Source organism: Homo sapiens, chromosome 9 (assembly GCF_000001405.40).
Source record: "Homo sapiens chromosome 9, GRCh38.p14 Primary Assembly".
NCBI lineage: Eukaryota > Metazoa > Chordata > Mammalia > Primates > Hominidae > Homo > Homo sapiens.
Window position 1 is genome coordinate 11900509 of NC_000009.12, and position 21535 is coordinate 11922043.

The following is a 21535-nucleotide window of genomic DNA, read 5'->3' on the forward strand; positions in this document are numbered from 1 at the left end:
TTGGAAGACATAGCACAGTATCTGGCTCAAAAAATTACTATTAGAAATATCATATATATATATATATATTTTTTTTTTTTTTTTTTTTTTTTTGAGACAGAGTCTCGCTTTGTCACCCCGGCTGGAGTGCAGTGACGTGATCTTGGCTCACTGCAACCTCTGCCTACTGGGTTCAGGCAATTCTCCTGCCTCAGTCTCCCAGGTAGATGGGACTACAGGTACACACCACCTCACCTGGCTAAGTTTTGTATTTTTAGTAGAGATAGTGTTTCACCATGGTCAGGCTCGCCTTGAACTCTTGACCTCATGTGATCCACCCATCTTGGGCTCCCAAAGTGCTGGGATTACAGGTGTGAGCCACTGTGCCAGGAGAGAAACATATATTTAAGAGCATTTCTGGAATAAGCATCTTGTTGAAATTTATAAAATAATCGAACGATATCTTCCCTAGATATTTAGGGAAGAGAGCAGTCATTGCTCTTGTTTAGCTTGTATTTCTCCTATTTCAGTGCTATTCAAGTTCTACTGTACCTCCATCAAGTCTCTTTTGAAGTGTTGTTTTCTGGCAACCTCTGCCTATGTATTTAAATTAAAAGGTTTAAATGCACTTTGTAAGTTTATTCTATTGGTTATGTTCCACACAATATCCTATGCTAAGTCATTGCCTGGGAATGTTTTCTTATTTGATTTACTCTCTTTACTGGATACAAATAGTATTGATAAACTAAGCATCTTGTACACTTTATGATCAATGTTTTACCCACTTTGCATTCTTCTTGGTATTCACTGAAGAAAAGAGCTGTGTTCCATTTATTTTAGGTCTCAGTTGAAAATGGATTTTTCTATTTAAAAGTAAATATACAACCAAATCTTCCTGAATTGGCATCTAGATGTGCTTCCAGTAGTGTTTTCTCTATGCTTACTTTATATCCATGTCACATGGGTTGCATGTACATCTGCACTAATTAAATGTATAATTATTTTTAATCAAGTTCTTGATGTACAGTATGTAAGAGAAATTAGGATATTTATCCTGTGAAATAACTGTGGTGTCATATATTTTGTTTGCAAAATACTGTGGTATTTAAAGAAAATCTTCAATATCAATTAAATCTCTTGTTTGTAGTGGTTTTGTCACTAGTTGTGCCATCAGGTTATCCAACCTGATATTTTTCCCTCTTCCATCCATTCCCTTCCCCACCCAGAAACAGATGACACTCTAAGTAATGAGTACCTGATGTGGAGGATCTGAAATTTGCAAGCCAGGAAATCAGAAATTATTTTTTCTAGTTGATTGTAGTGATTGTTGACTTTTCTTTTAAACTTGTGCTTTGCATCCTATGGATCTCAATATTTGGTTAACTTTTGGAACTAAGTCTTATTGCTACTTTCTTTGTTATGCTATCAGACATACGGTTATCATGTGTAATGTCAGGGGAGATGTGTGTCATGAGAGGGAAAGCAATGATTCCACTCTGGTAAAACAGCAGTTATGGGAAAAGTACAAAAAGGGAAATAGAAAATAGCTACTTACAATTTCAATCTCTGCTGTTCAACCAAGCAGACCGAAGGTAACTGCTGGCTGTGTAAGCAGCTTCTAGCTATCTCACTTTGAGCCACCAAGAGAGAATCATCCTTTAAAAAAAAAAAGGAAATGAGAGAAATTGCTTTGAGGGCTTAGGAAGGAGAAACAATAATACAAGTATCAGTTGCTATATATAAAAAAGAAATATGGTACAATAAAACGTACTTTTAAAGATACTATAGCTGGTCATAATGTTTTTTGAAACTGACTTTAGATTTGTTAAGTGAAAACACAGTAATAAAATAAATGTAAGTCAAAAATTTCATAAATATCTAATACCATTTCTATATCATTATTCTATAGGACTTAAATGAGATATCAAATAAAATAATAAAAAATAGAATGAATACATCTCTATCTCTCCTTCCCTGAGTTTTGACAAATCCTTTGCTATATAGTTTTCATTCCTAATATTATTCATTACCTTTTCTATGTTGGCTTTTCTAAAAAAGGCAAAATTTCAATAGACCTTGATAGGTTTTCACTTTCATTTAAGAGGGATAAATGCTTCAGCATGCACACTGATGGAAATTAATTTCATCTAAATGCTCTTAGGCTAGCTATCTGGAAATGTAAATACTCCTACTGTAAATTTTGTTGTGAAAGGTTTTTCATTACTAGCAAGAGCTCTGACCAGATTGTGAGAAAGCAGCAAAGCACTAATGAAAAAAAAAAAAAGGTAATCTGCTTTCTTTATTACATTCTCCATGAGTATCAGCTGCATCATTGCATTAACAGGGAAATCTATCCACTTTCCATAAAGGTTTCCTCTGTAGCTTTAAACTAACGTCAAGTAATGGAAAGATGATCACATTTGATGAATAAGATTAAGCCCCAGAATGATGTCTGTGAATGATGATGAGTATTGTGCATCCAGCAAGGAATTCACAACTGCAAAATTAAACTTGAGACATCTTTTCAGTTCCTTGTCAAGAAACAGACAAAACAAAACAAAAGCTACAATTTTTTAATATGTGAGATTTCATGACTGACTCTGCATAATCTTATGAAACTTCAAGTCTATATCATAATATTTAGCAATTTATTTTCATTTTTATGTCTACTTCACTGCCACGCAAATTACATGACATTACGCACAATTCTCTGTGCAATTTGACAGATTTTGGCAATTGTTTACACTCATGTAGCCACCACCTCTGTCAATTAATAGACCATGTCCATAAGTCAAAAAAGTTCCATTGTGTCACAATGTAGTCAATCAAATTCTCTGCCAGCCCCAACGACCACTGACCAGTTTTCTGCCACTGTTGCTTTGTTTTCACTTTTTTTTTGTAACATTTTATATAAATGGAAACATACCATATGAGTTCTTTTGCTTCTGGTTTGTTACACCTAGCACTATGTTTTGAAAATTCAACAAAATATTTCACTGAATAATGCACTTACTTTGTTGATGATTCATTCCATCCTGTCAATACATCATGATATGTTTACTCATTCACCTGTTGATGGACATTTGTACTCTCTCCACTTTGCAGTTAATATGAATAAAACTGTTATGAATATTTCTGTATGTATTCTTGAGTAGACATAGGTTTTTATTTTTATTGGGTAAATATCTGGGAATGGAATCAGAGGGTTGCACAGCAAAAGTAATTTAACTTTACAAGATATTGTAAAACTATTTTCCAAAGAGAAAATGAGCAATGAATGATAATTTTTTTTCCATCACACCCACACCAATAATACTTAGAATTCTTAGACATTTAAAAAATCATATTCATGAGTGTGTAGTCAGTGTTTACTGGTAGCTCATTAAATTTTTTTATGATAAATGATGCTGAGCATCTTTTCATGTGGTTATTTGACATTTTAAATATTTTCCTTCATGTCGTGTCTGTCCTTACCTTTAAAAAATTTTAAAAATTGTCATCTTTTTATTTGTAAGAATTCTTTACATATTCTGGATATGAGATCTCTCACACATATTTATCCTAAATATATGTTATTGGGCTGTGGTTTGCCTCTTTATTGTATTTTTTAAAAAATATAACAATTTTAATCATTTAAATAATCTCAAACTTACAATAAAATTGCAAGTAGAATTTTAAAAGCTTTCTGCTTCAAAATCTATTCTGAACAATTTGCTAACCTGATGGACTGCCACACCTAAACGTGTTACCTTACGTTTTTTTCCAAAACGACATCTTCTTACATAAACACAATAGGGTCATAGAAAAAAAGACATCAGGAGTTACACTCTACTCATGTATATATAAGTAATACATATTACATTTTGTGCATATAATTATGTAATTCCTTTCCAGTTTTTCCAGTAGTTCCAAAATGTTATTTCTAGTAAAATATTCAGGAAATAATCCTCATTGGATTCAGGTGTCATACCTCCTTAATCTACTTCCATTGGGACATGTTTCTCTGACTTTCCTTGACTTTCATGACTTTGACATTTTTTGAAGATTACAGGCCAATTATTATAGAATGGCATTCTTTTGGTTTATTTCTGTTTGTTTGTTAATGTTTCTTCATTATCAGATTCAGATTAGTTATAAATCTTTGAGTGGGATATCATATCAGAGAAGTAATACTGTGGTCTTCTCATTGCGTCCTATAAGGTGGCCCATGAGTTTAATTTGCACCAATACAGGTGGCATTTACCATGATTACTTAAGGTACTGTCTGTCAGGATTTTCCACTGCATAGCTACTCTTTCACTCTCTGTAAATAATGTATTTTGGGAAAGAAGTATTTGAAAATATGTATACATCTTATCCCTCATTAATCTTCCAATTTATTGATTTATTTACTTATATCAGCTATGGACTAATTATATTTCACTTTATTTAATGAACGTAAAAACATTAGTCACAGTATCTATTTTGAAGTGGGTTATCTCAGATTTGTCCTGTGGAGCCTTGCCTTTCAAGCTTGTTTCTGTGTGATTCTGATGTGCACCAATCGCCTTTTAATACAGTCTTTCTCTTTGAAAAAAAAATATGTTCTAACCTTATCTTCTGTTTCCCCACCTCAACCTCTGAATCAGCTAATTGTGCAAGGGGCTCTGGTTCCTTATAACATGGAATAATACTTAGAAATCAACCTAAATTCTGCCCACCAAGATGGTCTGGGAGCACAGACACTCTGCTAGCAATGGGCACCTGCTCAGTGTAAGTTTTCTATTTCTGTGCAAGATATTACTTCAGAACGTTGACTTAAACAAACCCAAATATATTATCTCACCGTTTCCATGGGTCATATGTCTGGGTATGTGTTAGCTGGATCTTCTGCTCAGAAATTCACCAGACTGAAATAAAGGTGTCAGCTGTGGTTTCAATCCTCATCTGAGGCTCAAGATCCTCTCCTAGTTCACTGATTTTTGGTAGATTTCATTTCCTTGTAGATATAAAATGTAGATTTCTGGTTTTCCTGGCTATCTTTCTTTCAGCCAGAGACTAATCTCAGGTTCTAGAGACTGCTTACAGCCCCTTACAGTGTGGACCCGAGAGGGAGTTCACAGTGTGGTATTTTGCCTTTTTTTTCAGGCCACCAAGAGCTCCTCTCTCTCACTCTTCACTTTCCTTTGAGGCTTCTCTTGTTAGTCCAGACCCACTCAGGATAACCTGCTTTTGATTAACTGAAGCTCAAGACTTATAGAAAAAAAAAAAGTTGAGATTTTATAATTTCATTTATATTGTGTACAGAACAGAGAAGACTAAACCCTTGGTGGGCAATTCAGTCTCATGAAATGTGGTTTTCTTGAGACCCTGTGGATCTGTAACTTGGTGAGTGCCTTGTCCTACAAGCCAGAGTGGTATTCTGAAAGTGCAATTCTTTCACAGAACTGCATGATATTGGACAGTTAGAATATCTCTGACATGCTAATTTAGGGTAATTCAATTTTTATACAGAAAGGTGCCCCCAAATAATAACTCCTGTGGTTTCATACATCTAGGCTGGCTGTCTGAGTTACACAGTTCTCCACATTTGTCAAATCTCAGTGAATGTATACTTAATATTCAAACTTTTTTAAATATTTTGACTTTACGGCAAGAGAAAAAAACATGAACAAATATTGCACTCTAATTATTGCTATGCTTGCTAATGTATTTAGAGTGAAGTGTACTGATATCTGCAAATTTCTCCAAGATACATAGAAACTTAAGATGGATTATTGGATTAAAAAAGGAATAGATAGATGGATACACATGTTTATCTATCGAATATAATAAAGTGTTAATAGTAGAATCAAAGTAGTGAATATAAGAGTGTTCATGGTAAAATTCATTCAACTGTACTCATACGTTAGAATAGCACTCACCAATTTTAAAAATTGCAGTTTTAAATATGACAATGTATGAATATGCCATATTTCCCTTTTAAATATTTTTTTATTATACTTTAAGTTCTAGGGTACATGTGCACAACGTGCAGGTTTGTTACATATGTATACATGTGCCATGTTGGTGTGCTGCACCCATTAACTCATCATTTACATTTGGTATATCTCCTAATGCTATCCCTCCCCTTCCCCCCACCCCACAACAGGCCCCAGTGTGATGTTCCCCTTCCTGTGTCCAAGTGTTCTCATTGTTCAATTCCCACCTATGAGTGAGAACATGTGGTGTTTGGTTTTGTGTCCTTGAGATAATTTGCTGAGAATGATGGTTTCCAGCTTCATCCATGTCCCTACAAAGGACATGAACTCATCCTTTTTTATGGCTGCATAGTATTCCATGGTGTATATGTGCCACATTTTCTTAATCCAGTCTATCATTGTTGGACATTTGGGTTGGTTCCAAGTCTTTGCTAATGTGAATAGTGCCGCAATAAACATACGCGTGCACGTGTCTTTATAGCAGCATGATTTATAATCCTTTGGGTATATACCCAGTAATGGGGTGGCTGGGTCAAATGGTATTTCTAGTTCTAAATCCCTGAGGAATCACCACACTGTCTTCCACAATAGTTGAACTAGTTTACAGTCCCACCAACAGTGTAAAAGTGTTCTTATTTCTCCACATCCTCTCCAGCACCTGTTGTTTCCTGACTTTTTAATGATCGCCATTCTAACTGGTGTGAGATGGTATCTCATTGTGGTTTTGATTTGCATTTCTCTGATGGCATTTTGTGATGATGAGCATTTTTTCATGTATCTGTTGGCTGCATAAATGTCTTCTTTTGAGAAGTGTCTGTTCATATCCTTCGCCCACTTGTTGATGTGGTTGTTTTTTTCTTGTAAATTTTTTTGAGATCTTTGTAGATTCTGGATATTAGCCCTTTGTCAGATGAGTAGATTGCAAACATTTTCTCCCATTCTCTAGGTTGCCTATTCACTCTGATGGTAGTTTCTTTTGCTGTGCAGAAGCTCTTTAGTTTAATTAGACCCCCTTTGTCAATTTTGGCTTTCATCGCAATTGCTTTTCATGTTTTGGTCATGAAGTCTTTGCTTGTGCCTATGTCCTGAATGGTATTGCCTAGGTTTTTTTCTAGGAGTTTTTGGTTTTAGGTCTTACGTTTAAGTCTTTAATCCATCTGGAGTTAATTTTTGTATAAGGTGTAACGAAGGGGTCCAGTTTCAGTTTTCTGCATATAGCTAGCCAGTTTTCCCAACACCATTTATTAAATAGGGAATCCTTTCCGGAATGCTTGTTTTTGTCAGGTTTGTCAAAGGTCAGATGGTTGTAGACATGTGGTGCTATTTCTGAGGCCTCTGTTCTCTTCCATTGGCCTATATCTCTGTTTTGGTACCAGTACCATGCTGTTTTGGTTACTGTAGCCTTGTAGTACAGAAGTCATGGCTACTATGCGGGCTCTTTTTTGGTTCCATATGAAATATAAAATAGTTTTTTCTAATTCTATGAAGAAAATCAATGGTAACTTGATGGGAATATCACTGAATCTATAAATTACTTTGTGCAGTATGACTGTTTCCATGATATTGATTCTTCCCATCCATGAGCATGGTATGTTTTTCCATTTGTTTGTGTCTTCTCTTATTTCCTTGAGCAGTGATGTGTAGTTCTCCTTGAAGAGGTCCTTCACATCACTTGTAAGTTGTATTCCTAGGTATTTTTTCTCTTTGTAGCAATTGTGAATGGGAGTTTGCTCATGATTTGGCTCTCTGTTTGTCTATTATTGATGTATAGGAATGCTTGCGATTTTTGCACGTTGATTTTTTATCCTGAGACTTTGCTGAAGTTGCTTATCAGCTTAAGGACTTTTTGGGATGAGACAGTGGGGTTTTCTAAATATACAATCATGTAATCTGCAAACAAAAAATTTGATTTCCTCTCTTCCTATTTGAATACCCTTTACTTCTTTCTCTTGCCTGATTGCTCTGGCCATAACTTCCAACACTAGTTTGAATAGGAGTTAGAAGAGAGGACATCCTTATCTTGTGTGGGTTTTCAAAGGGAATGAGTCCTGATTTGTCCATTCAGTATGATATGGGCTGCAAGTTTGTTATAAATAGCTCTTTTTATTTTGAGGTTTGGTCCATCAATACCTAGTTTATTGAATGTTTTTAACATTAAAGGGTCCATCAATACCTAGTTTATTGAATGTTTTTAGCATTAAAGGGTGTTGAATTTTATTGAAGGCCTTTTCTGCATCTATTAAAATAATCATGTGGTTTTTGTCATTGGTTCTGTTTATGTGATGGATTACGTTTATTGATTTGCTTATGTTGAGCCAGTCTTGCATTCAAGGGATGAAGCCAACTTGATCATGCTGGATAAGCTTTTTGTGTGCTGCTGGATTTGGTTTGCCAGTATTTCATTGAGAAATTTTCCATGTCGATTTCCATCTGAGATATTGGCTTGAAATTTACTTTTTTTGTTGTGTCTCTGCCAGGTTTTGGTATTAGGGTGGTGCTGGTCCCATAAAATTAAGTAGACAGGAGTCCCTCTTTTTCTATTATTTGGAATAGTTTCAGAAGGAATGCTACCAGCTCCTTTTGTACCTATGGTAGAATTCAGCTGTGAATTTGTCTGGTCCTGGGCTTTTATCGGTTGGTAGGCTATTAATTTCTGCATCAATTTCAGAAGTTATTACTGGTCTATTCAGGGATTCGACTTCTTCCTGGTTTAGACTTGGGAGGGTGTATGTGTCCAGGAAGTGTCCAGGAATTTATCCATTTCTTCTAGATTTTCTAGTTTATTTGCATAGATGTGTATGTAGTATACTCTGATGGTAGTTTGTATTTCTGTGGAATCAGTGGTGATCTCCCCTTTATCATTTTTTATTGTGTTTATTTGATTCTTCTCTCTTTCCTTCTTTATTAGTCCGGCTAGTGGTCTGTTTTGTTAATCTTTTTTAAAAACCAGCTCCTGGATTCATTGATTTTTGAAGGCTTTTTCTTGTCTCTGTCTCCTTCAATTCTGCTCTGATCTTAGTTATTTCTTGTCTTCTGCTACATTTTAAATTTGTTTCCTCTTGCTTCTCTAGTTCTTTTTAATTGTGATGTTAGGGTGTCAATCTCAGATCTTTCTTGCTTTCTCTTGTGGGCATTTAGTACAATGAATTTCCCCCTTAACACTGCTTTAGCTGTGTCCCAGAGATTCTGTATGTTGTGCCTTGTTCTCATTGGTTTCAAATAACTTATTTATTTCTGCCTTAATTTCATTATTTACTGAGTAGTAATTCAGGAGCAGGTTGTTCAGTTTCTATGCAGTTGTGTGGTTTTGAGTGAATTTCTTAATCCTGAGTTCTAATTTGATTGCACTGTGGTCTAAGATACTGTTTGTTATGATTTCCATTCTTTTGCATTTGCTGAGGAGTGTTTTACTTCCATTATGTGGTTGATTTTAGAATAAGTGCCAAGTGGTGCTGAGAAAAATGTATATTCTGTTGATTTGGGGTAGAGAGTTCTGTAGATGTCTGTTAGGTCCACTTGGTCCAGAGCTGAGTTCAAGTCCTGAGTATCCTTGTTAATTTTCTGTCTCATTGATCTGTTAAAGTCTCCCACTATTATTGCATAGGAGTGTGAGTTTCTTTGTAGGTTTCTAAGAACTTGCTTTTTGAATCTAAGTGCTCCCGTATTGGGTGCATATAAATTTAGAATAGTTATCTCTTCTTGTTGCATTGATCCCTTTAACATTATTTAATGCTCTTCTTTGTCTTTTTTGATCTTTGTCAGTTTAGAGACTAGGATTGCAACCCCTGCTTTTTTTTGCTTTCCATTTGCTTGGTAAATCTCGCCCCATCCCTTTATTTTGAGCCTATGTGTGTCTTTGCATGTGAGATCTGTCTCCTGAATACAGCACCCTGATGGGTCTTCACTCTTTATCCAATTTGTGAGTCTGTGCCTTTTTAATTGGGGCATTTAGCCCATTTACATTTAAGTTTAATATTGTTATGTGTGAGTTTGATTCTGTCATCATGATGCTAGCTGGTTATTTTGCCCATTAGTTGTTGCAGTTTCTTCATAGTGTCAGTGGTTTTATATTTGGTATGTTTTTGCAGTGGCTGGTGCTGGTTTTTCCTTTCCATATTTAGTACTTCCTTCAGGAGCTCTTGTAGGGCAGGCCTGGTGGTGACAAAATCCTGCAGCATTTGCTTTTCTGTAAAGAATTTTATTTCTCCTTCGCTTATGAAGCTTAGTTTGGCTGGATATGAAATTCTGGTTTGAAAGTTCTTTTCTAAGAATGTTGTATGTTGGCACCTACTCTCTTCTGGCTTGTAAGATATCTGCAGAGAGATCTGCTGTTAGTCTTATGGGCTTCCTTTTGTGGGTAACCTGACCTTTCTCTCTGGCTGCCCTTAACATTTTTTCCTTCATTTTAACCTTGGCAAATCTGACAATTATGTGTCTTGGGTTTACTCTTCTCAAGGAGTATGTTTGTGGTGTTCTCTGTATTTCCTAAATTTGAATGTTGGCCTGTCTTGCTAGGTTGGGGAAGTGCTCCTGGACAATATCCTAAAGTGTGTTTTCCAACTTGGTTCCATTCTCCCCGTCACTTTCAGGTACACCAATCAAACATAGGCTTGGTCTTTTCACAAAGTCCCATATTTCTTGGAGGCTTGTTTGTTCCTTATTATTCTTTTTTCTCTAATCTTGTCTTCATGCTTTATTTCATTAAGTTGATCTTCAATCTCTGATATCCTTTGTTCTGCTTGATTGATTCGGCTACTGATACTTGTGTATGCTTCGTGAAGTTCTCATACTGTGTTTTTCAGCTCCATCGGGTCATTCATGTTCTTCTCTAAAGTGGTTATTCTAGTTAGCAATTCCTCTAACCTTTTATCAAGTTTCTTGCCTTCCTTGCATTGGGCTAGTACATGCTCCTTTAGCTCAGAAGAGTTTATTATTACCCACCTTCTGAAGCTTACTTCTGTCAATTTCTTAAACTCATTCTCCATCCAGTTTTGTTCCCTTGCTGGTGAGGAGTTGTAATCCTTTGGAGGAGAAGAGGTATTCTGGTTTTTGGAATTTTTACCCTTTTGCCCTGTTTTTTTCTCATCTTCATGGATTCATCTACCTTTGGTCTTTGCTGTTGGTGACCTTCAGATGGAGTATTTGCATGGTAGTCCATTTTGTTGATGTTTATATATTGCTTTCTGTTTGTTAGTTTTCCTTCTAATAGTCAGGCCCCTCTTCTGCAGGTCTGCTGGAGTTTGCTTGAGTTCCCATTCCAGACCCTGTTTGCTTGGGTATCACCTGTGGAGGCTGAAGAACAGCAAAGATTGCTGCCTGCTCCTTCCCCTGGAAGCTTCATCCCAGAGGGGCACCCACCAGATGCCAGCCAGAGCTCTCCTGTATGAGGTGTCTGTCCACCCCTGCTGGGAGGTGTCTCCCAGTCAGGAGGCATGGGGTTCAAGGACCCACTTGAGGAGGCAGTCTGCCCCTTAGCAGAGTTCAAGCGCTATGCTGGGTGATCTGCCGCTCTCTTCAGAGCCGGCAGGCAGGAACTTTTAAGTCTGCTGAAGCTGCACCTACAGCCGCCCCTTCCCCCAGGTGCTCTGTCCAAGGGAGATGGGAGTTTTATCTATAAGCCCCTGACTGGGACTTCTGCCTCTCTTTCAGAGATGGCCTGCCCAGAGGGGAGGAATCTAGAGAGGCAGTCTGGCTACAGTGACTTTGTGGAGCTGTGGTGGGCTCAGCTCAGTCTGAACTTTCTGGTGGCTGTGTTTACACTGTGAGGGGCAAACTGCCTACTCATGCCTCAGTAATGGTGGACTCACCTCCCCTCATCAAGCTTGAGCGTCCCAAGTCAACTTCAGACTGCTGTGTTGGCAGCGAGAATTTCAAGCCAGTGGATCTTAGATTGCTGGGCTCTGTGGGGGTGGGATCCACTGAGCAAGACCTCTTAGCTCCCTGGCTTCAGTCCCCTTTCCAGGGGAGTGAAAAGTTTTGTCTTGCTGGTGTTCCAGGCTCCACTGGGGTACAAAAACAAAACAAAACAAAACAAAACAAAACTCCTGCAGCTAGCTCGGTGTCTACCCAAATGGCTGCACTGTTGTGTGCTTGAAACTCAGGGCCCTTGTGGTGTAGGCACCTGAAGGATTCTCCTGGTTGTGGGTTCCAAAGACCATGGGAAAAGCGTAGTACCTTGGCCACATAGCACGATCTCTCATGGCATAGTCCCTCATGGCTTCCCTTGGTTGGGTAGGGAGTTCCCTGACCCTTTGCACTTCCTGGGTGAGATGACGCCCCACCTGCTTCTGCTCACACTGCATGGCTTGCACCCACTGTCTAACCTGTCCCAATGAGATGAACTGGGTACCTCATTTGGAAATGCAGAAATCACCCGCCTCTGCATTGGTCTCATTGGGAGCTATAGACTGGAGCTGTTCCTATTTGGCCATCTTGCCTGGGAATCAATCATATTGTTTTTACAAGAAGTACATTTCCAGTCACTTTTTCTTCATTGCATTTTGTTCTTTGCAAAATCAAAGCTCAAACATGTTAAAAAGTATATTAAAGTTGAATATAGTGCGCAAAAGGATTACTTAGAATGTAAGTACAGGCAATGTAAGAATTTATTCTCTATGACCACTGAAAAGAAGTCATGTTGTACTGTGTAAAATTACAAGCCTCATGAATAGAAGTAATATAATGCTTCAGAAAACCAGACCTTCGGTGTTTTGCTAAAGGTAAATTAAAATCAATATTAAGGCATACATTCACAGAAACATGAACAGCAAACTTCTGTAAATGTGTTTAAAACACTTTAGAGCCTGATTACTCTGTGGTAATGTTATGGCATGTCTTTTGATAACTTATGTTACCTAGAAAATTTGAAAGGTAATGTATTTTATTCATGCTTAAAAGTAAAGACAATATAAGAAAAGTATTGTGATGTTTATGTTCTGTAGACTGAATTAGAACATTGAGTTTCACATACTAATTAATATGCTATATAATGCAAAAGCCCACAAATTTATCAGTTATTTTTAATGTCAAATTCTAATATGACAGTGCTTTGTTATATGTTAATTAATCTTTTTTTTTTTCAAGATGTGAAAACAACCAAAAATAGAGTTGAGGTCCAGAAATTTTGTATGTTCTAAATAATTTGTAAGTCTTTTCACTGCTCTACAGAATTATAGTATGTGTTTTTTTCACTATTATTAGCAAATCATCTGCAGCAAAAGGCTCAGTTCATTTTGGAAGTTTCAAATAATTGGCTATATATTCTGAAAGTTATATTGTTTTATTCCTACAGTATTCAGACATCAGATCAATGACATGAACTTTATTTTCTGAGTCTGCCTGTAGATTTTTAGAAGTGGGGAAACACCTTTAATCTTAAGCTTTTAAGATGTATAAACTGTTCTTTTGAAGGCAATATAATTATTTTAGACTTTCAAATAATACACTTTAAATCAGATCTCAGAATAAATATTTGAAGATTTGATTGTTTTTAAGAGAGTATAAAAAGAAAAACAAATATAATTTGTTTCTAGAGTGTGAAATCAAATATTACCATAATATTTTTACCCTTTTAAAATGATTTTTTAAAGCAATATAGACTTTGTTAGTTCTTTCTCATGATGCTATGAAGAAATACCTGAGACTGGGTAATCTATAATGAAAAGAGATTTAATTGACTCACAGTTCCACATGGCTGGGGAGGCCTCAGGAAACTTACAATCATAGTGGGAAGTGGAAGTTACCTCTTCACAGGGTGGCAAGAGAGAGAATGTGTGCAAGCAGGAGAAATGCCAGATGCTTATAAAACCAGCAGATTTCATGAGAACTCACTCGCTATCATGAGAACAGCATGGAGGAAACCACTCCCATGATTCAGTTACCTCCCACTGGGTCCCTTTCACAACACATTAGGATTATGGGAACTACAATTCAAGATGAGATTTGGGTAGGGACACAGACAAACCATATAATACACTATACAAAGAAAATGTTTTTCTTTCTGAAAAGTGGGACTTTTTTAAAAAAAGAAAAAGTATAAAAGAAATTAATCGGATACCAAATTGAAAAGGCAAGAATTATTTAATTTTAATATTGTATTTTATTCTAACTTTATATATAGTATCACTATGCAAAGTTTGACACTGCAAATAACATATCCTCATCCAACGTTGAAAGGTAAATGTTTAAAATCTTAAAATGTTAAAAAGTATAGATATATATTTAATAGAATTTCTAATTATTGCTTTTCATGTCTTTAGCCCACCACCCACCATGTAATATATTTCCAGGTAAACTACCTTATTGTTTACCTGCCTTATTATTATTGTTAAGAGCCTTAAAAGAGACTTCATGTCTGTTTTACCTTATATCTGCATATTAACTGAGAAAAACTGGTAATTGTACAGAAACTAACCTTGATTTTTTAAGCTATAGAAGTCCAAGTAGAGCTGTCAATTAACATGATTTCCTTGGATATTAAGAATGTGTTACTCATTGCACAAGCTAAGCATTGGACTATGGGCTTCCCATTCCTCAGTGTTATGCCATTTCAAAAATTCTCCCAAGAAAACACACCAAAATGCATCAGATTAAAGTACTTTTTAATTTATTCACACAGAGTAGAGAAGTTCTCAACCACACTATGCAAGCCTAAGATAATTGAAAGAAATCGCTTTATTCTTTCCTAGCTCATAGGCACTATGCTGAAATGACTCAGGCTTTCTCCAATGAGACCTGTTAATACTTAAATGTCATTTTCTGGTAGGAATACTATTTATAGCTATGTGGTTTGTGAATGATAGAGTTCCAGGTGATAACATTTACATAACAAATGATGGAAATGGCACCCACTGGATTTGTTCAATGTGGAAGACACATTTTCTATGTGAATATAATGAAGAAAGATGAGATGATGGGATTCCCATCTTGAGTAATGTGTACAAAATCACAACAGAATGGTGCTGTATCCCTATCACAAGACATTTGGGCAAAACATTTTTAAAGACATCAAAGAGTTAAAGATACAAAAAAAATTCCAAGTAAACTAAATTCCAGAAAGCATTAATCTCTTCACAGGAGGAAAGAAATTCATGGTTGATTTCATGCCTGATAGTGTCAAAATGAGGAAGAACTCGTCATATATGGAATAAGGAGAAACAAGTTAATTTGAAAGAGTTTTTCTACCTCAGTGGTAGACAGGATTCAGATTAAGTGAAAGGCGACATCCTCTAAGGTGGGGCACATGGTGGGGCAGGGCACAATATTACTCAACAGAACGTGGCTGTTCCCCAAATGAAAGGTAGTGTCCTGAGACAGAGCACTGTGCCTTGACTGCACAGTGTGGCAAGGCCCTGGGCCTGGCCCATGAAACTATTCTGTCTTCCAAAACCTCTGGGGCTGTTATGGAAAGGGCTGCTGCAAAGGTCTCTGAAATGCTTTTCAGGCCTTTTCTCCATTGTGTTGGATATTAGAACTTGGCTCCACTTTTGTAATGCAGATATCTCTATCAAGTGGTTGTTCCACGGCCTGCTTTGATTATTCTACTGAAAACAGGTTTTTTTTTTTCTATCTTATTGCCAGGCTGCACATTTTCCAAACTTATACACTGTGCTTCTCTTTTAAATATGAGTTACATCTTTAAGTCATTTTTTTTTTTGCTGCTGCATCTGCGTATATGCTGTTAGAAGCAGCCAAGTCACATCCTGAATGCTTTGCTGCATAAAACTTTCTTTCTCCAGGTACCCTAAATCTTAATGGTCAAGTTCAAACTTACATAGATCCCTAGGTCAAGGGCACAATACAGCCAAGTTCTTTGGTAAGGAAAAACAAGGTTAATCTTTGGTACAGTTTCCAATAAGTTCCTGATTTCCATCAAAGACCTTGTCAGCCTTTATTTCACTGTCCATATAATTATCAACATTTTGGTCACAACCATTTAACCAGTCTCTATGAAGATACAACATTTCTCTCATCTTGTTGTTTTCTTCTTAGCCCTCCAAATTCATCCAACCTCTGACTGTTACCCACTTCCAAACCTGCTTTCACGGTATCTTTGTAGTAATGCCCCAGTCTCAGTAACAATTTTCTGTGTTAGGTCATTCTTACATTGGTATAAAGAAACACCTGAGACTGGGTAATTTATAAAGAAAAAAGATTTAATGGTATCATAGTTCTGCAGGTTGTACAGGAAGCATAGTGCCAGCATCTGATTCTGAGGAGACCTCAGGAAATTTCAACTCATGGCAAAAGGTGAAGCAGGAACAGGCACTTCATATGACAAAAACAGAAGCAAGAGACAGTGGTGGTGGTGTGGGGGCACATTTTACAACAACCAGATCTTGTGAGAAGTCACTCATTATCACAAGGATACCACCAAGCCATGAAAGATCCACTCCAATGACTCAAACACCTCTCACCAGGTGCCCACCTCTAACATTGGAGATTATAGTTCAACATGAGATTTGGGTGGGGACAAATATCCAAAGTATATCAATGGTGTTACATAAAGATCCAAATTTATTATTTGCCTGTGGATATCTAGGTTTCCCCAGCACCATTTGTTGAAAAGACTGCCCTTTCCTTATTGAACATTCTTGGCACTCTTGTCAAAATCGTTTGACCATATGTGTCAAGGTTATTTCTGGGCTGTCTATTCTATTCCATTTGGACTGTGTGTTTGTTGTTATGCCAATGCCATGATATTGTGATTACTGTAGCTTTGTAGTAAGTTTTGAGATGAGGAAATTTGAGTCTTCCAACATTGTTCTTTTTAAAGATTGTTTTGGGGAGTGGGGTTTCTTTGAGATTGTATATGAATTTTAGGATGGGCTTTTCTAATTCTGCAAAAAAAAATCATGAGGATTTTGATAGGGATTACAGTAAATTGATGGATTGCTTTGGGCAGTGTGGACATCTTAATAATATTAAGTCTTCCAATTTATGATCATGGGATGTGTTTCCATTTATGTCTTTTTTAGTTTCTTTCAGCAATTTTTATTGTTTTCATTGTACAGGTTTTTGAGCTCCTTGGTTAATTTCTAAATATTTTATTATTTTTTAGGCTTTTATAAATAGACTTGTTTTCATAATTTCTTTTCATATTGTTCATTGTTGCTCTATGGAAATTGACTAATCTTTGCCTGTTGATGTGGTATCCTTCTCTTTGCTGAATTCATTTCTTTTTAGTTCAAACAGTCAAGTTTTGTAAAGTCTTTAAGGTGTTCTATATCATATCGTGTAAATAGTGATCATGTTGCTTCTTTCTTTCCAATGTAGATGCCTTTTATTTCTTTTTCTTGCCAAATTCATCTGGCTAGAGCTTGCAAAATGGGCAAAGGACTTTAATGGACATTTTTCCAAAGAGTTATACAAATGGCCAATAAGCGTATGAAAATATGTTCAACATCACTAATCATTAAAGAAATACAAATTGAAGCTACAATGCGATACCACCTTACACTCATTAGGATAGCTGCTATTTAAAAAATCCATAAAGTAACAATTATTGGTGAGAAGGTGTAGAATTTGGACACCTTGTGCACTGCTGGTGTGAATTTAAAATGGTACAGTTGCTGCAGGAAACAGTATGGCAGTCCCTAAAAAATTAAAAATAGAATTATCATATTTTGCAGACAATTCAATTTCTGAAGACATACTGAAAAGAATTGAAAGCTGTGTCCAAGAGGTATTAGTACACTGATGTTCATAGCAGCATTATTCACAATAGCTAAAATGTGGAAGAAATTCATGTTCATCAACAAATGAATGAGTAAGATAAATGTGGTATATACAGTAGAATATTATCTAGCCTTAAAAAGGAAAAAAAAATCTGACATATGCTGCAACATGGATCTAATTTGAGGATATTATGCTTAGTAAAACAAGCCAGTCACACAAACACAAATACTGTATGATTCTACTTATATGAGGTAGAGTAGTCAAAGTTACAGAGGAAGTCGAATAATGTTTGCCAGGAGTTTGTGGGAGGTGAGATGGCAAATGTATAATGAGAACAGAGTGTAACAAGATAAAAAGAATTATGGAGATGGATGGTGGTGGTGGCTGCACAACATTAAACTGCACATTTAAAAATGATTAAGAAGGTAAATTTTATGTTATGTGTATTTCACTATAATGAAATTAAAAATTAAAAATAGCAATATTAATGAACTAATGACTAAATATAAAACATACTTAAAATTAATGTGCGGCCCTTAGATGAGAGCTGAACAAACCAATTGGAAAAACAAAAGAAAAAGAAAAATTTAGAACAATCAGAAATATGTGCACAATAATTGGACATTTGATATTGTAATAAATAATTTTTGCTAATATTTTGGAAAGTAGTGATATTAAAGTTTTGTTAAGTGTTAAAAACACAAATACTTACATTGAACTGATATGCTTTAAAAAATGTGGGAGGAGCAGGTAGATAAATGTATAAATGAAACATGACCAGCTATACGTTGATAACCATTGAAGCTGGGTGTTGGGTATGTGTGGGTTTATTATATCACTCTTTTGATTTATATACATGCTCAAACTTTTACATTAAAAAGTGGTTTTCATGGAAAAAATAGATATCAATTATTGCGAGTTTGAGAGGATGGAGGAATGAATAGGCATAGTATACAGAATTTTCAGGGCACTGAAAGTATTTTATTTGATACCATAGTGGTAGCTACATGTCATTATACATCTGTTGAGGCCCACAGAAAGTACAACATTAAGAGTGAAGCCTAATGTAAACTATTAACCTTGGCTAATAATGTTGTAGCATTGTAGTTTTATGGATTGTAATAAATGTACCAGTTTGGTGTGGGATGTTGATATTGAGAGAGGCTGTGCATGTATGAGAACATGAGGTGTATGGAAAAAATCTGTACTTTTCACATAATTTTGCTCTGAACCTAAAACTACTCTAACTAATAAAGTCTATTTTTTAAAATGTAGTTACCAGCCAAAAGATGAGGATAGAGCAAGAGTGCTCAAAGAAACTCCTCCACTTCTCTGCAGATTTTTAATGCATACCTTGTAGCAACCCTCCAAGAAAGAGTGCATGACAAGAAAGTTCAATATTATGGTGAACGTTGTGTCCTCCTCCTCTCTGATAATTCATATATTGAAGTCCTAACCCCAGCACCTCACAATGTAACCTTATTTAGAAATACAGTAATTGCAGATGTAATTAAGATGAGATTATACTAGAGTGGAGTGAGCCCCAATTCAATAAGACTAGTGTCTTTGTAAAAAGGGAAAATTTGGATACATATGCATACACATAGATGTACATACACAAAGTATATGAACATGAAGGTAGAGATTGGGTTGATATGTCTACCAACCCAAGGAATGTCAAAGATTGTCAGAAATCTGTCAGATCTAGGAAAGTGGTATGGAACACATTCTTCTTCACAGCCTTCAAGAGGAACCACCCCTGCTGACATGTTGATCTTGGACTTCTAGCCTCCAGAGCTGTGAGACAATGAATTTCTGTTGTTTAAGTAACCCCTGCCAACACATTGATCTTAGACCTCTAGCATCCAGAACCATGAGACAATAAATTTCTGTTGTTTTACCCACTCAGTATACTGTTGCACTAGTTTGTTATAGTAGCCCTAGCAAATGAATACACTGAGATATATAGTATTGAGGGACATTGGTTTTCAGTCATTATATTGCAGCTGTCCGTCAAAGTAGAAGACACATTTCCTAAAGTGCAGAAAGCTGGGGGAAAAAAGTAAAACCTCAATAGCTCAAAATTTGGATGGTTAGACTGTAAGAGAGAAAGAAGAAAAGAGAGAGCTTCCATTGTTTAGAAAACTGGTGTCGGGACTGTAAAGCAAAAGGACAGGTCTAGCATCTTGCTCTTTCCAGATAACAAGATATATTGGAGGCATTCCTTCTGTTCTGTTTCCCTGAATATTTGAAGTTGTTGTTGAACTAAATATTATGCATTGAAACTAAGTGCAACTTCCTCAATTACAGATTTCATTAACTCAGATTCCCAAATAGGTAGCTGGACAGAATAAGGAGAATAATAATTTCTCAGGACAGTTATGTTTACATTTGGATTCCACTGTTATTTTTAATACATTTTCTAATGTACAATTCTAAAAATACACAAGACCATTGCAGATGGGTGATTATGTATGACCAATAGTCAGAAAAGAAAACATTGAATGGAAGGAAACCCTAAAACCTAGTATCAGAATTACTCAAAAAAACCTTTAAAATAACTATAAAAACAGACTGGGTGTGGTGGCTCACTCCTGTAATCCCAGCACTTTGGGAAGCCAAATCGGGCAGATCACTTGAGGTCAGGAGTTCGAGACCAGCCTGACCAACATGTTGAAACCCTGTCTCTACTAAAAATACAAAAATTAGCTGAGCATGGTGGCACATGCCTGTAATCCCAGCTACTTGGGAGGCTGAGGCAGGAGGATTGCTTGAACCCAGGAGGCGGAGGTTGCAGTGAGCCGAGATCACACCATTGTACTTCAGTCTGGGCGACAAAAGCGAAGCTCCATCTAAAAAACAAACAAAAACAAAAAATAAAAATAAAACAGTTTACTGAAATATCCACTAGGAAAGCTGTACAGCATATATAAAGAGATGTTGTCTCAGCAGAGAGATTAAAATGATTACAAATCGAATAAAAATGCTATGAATTTAAAAATTCCCTGAAAGATCTTTAGATGGTTTGGGAAGGAAATTAGCAAGCTAATTCCAAAATTTTTATGTGAACATACAGAATCCAAAAGAGATACAAACAACCTTGAAAAATAATAAAAAAGTATAAAACCTTATTATCAGTGATTTCAAGTTATAAATCCACAGTAATTAACACAGTGTGTTACTGGCATTAACATAGGCCAAGCTTGTCCAACCTTTGGCCCATGGGTTGCATGCAGCCCAGGACAGCTTTGAATGTGGCCCAACAAAAATTTGTAAACTTTCTTAAAACATTAAGAGATATATTGTGATTTTTTTTTTTTTTTTTTAGCACATCAGCTATCATTAGTGTTAGTGTATTTTATGTGTGACCCTAGACAATTCTTCTTCCAGTGTGGCCCAGGGAAGCCAGGACACCTCTGGCATAGGCAATTAAATCAATGGAACAAATTGAGATTCCAGAACTAGACCAAAAATCTATTGAGACTTTAAAAAAAAGCAGGTCAGTTTAACTGAGCAAGAAACAATTCTACATTTTTTTAAGTGGGGCTGAAAAACTGAACAACTTCATGAAAAATATAACTCACTTTACATATGAAAATTAATTGGACATGAATTGTAAGCCTGATTATAACAGGTAGAACATAACAATTCTAGAAGTAAGTCTAGATTGCCTTCAAAATCTTGCAGTATAAGAAGATTTTTTATTCAGGATGCAAAAATAATTAAACATAATTGAAATTGCTAAATTGAACTTAATGAAAACAGACAATGTTTTATTATTGAAAAATTCAGTTAAGATCATCATGCAAAAATTTTTTTAATTTTTAATTTTTTGTGTAGATAGTAGATATAAATATTTATGAGTTAGATGGGGTATTTTGAATACAGACGTGCAATGTGTAATAATTACATCAGGGTAA

General features: G+C 36.0%; 1 annotated feature.

Annotated features, from left to right (window-relative positions):
- Positions 15059-15685: an enhancer, noted in NCBI's record as "OCT4-NANOG hESC enhancer chr9:11915567-11916193 (GRCh37/hg19 assembly coordinates)". NCBI's record gives its function as "activates a minimal SCP1, AML or CMV promoter by ChIP-STARR-seq in primed H9 embryonic stem cells {active_cell/tissue: H9 hESC(primed)}" and the evidence as "EXISTENCE:reporter gene assay evidence [ECO:0000049][PMID:30033119]".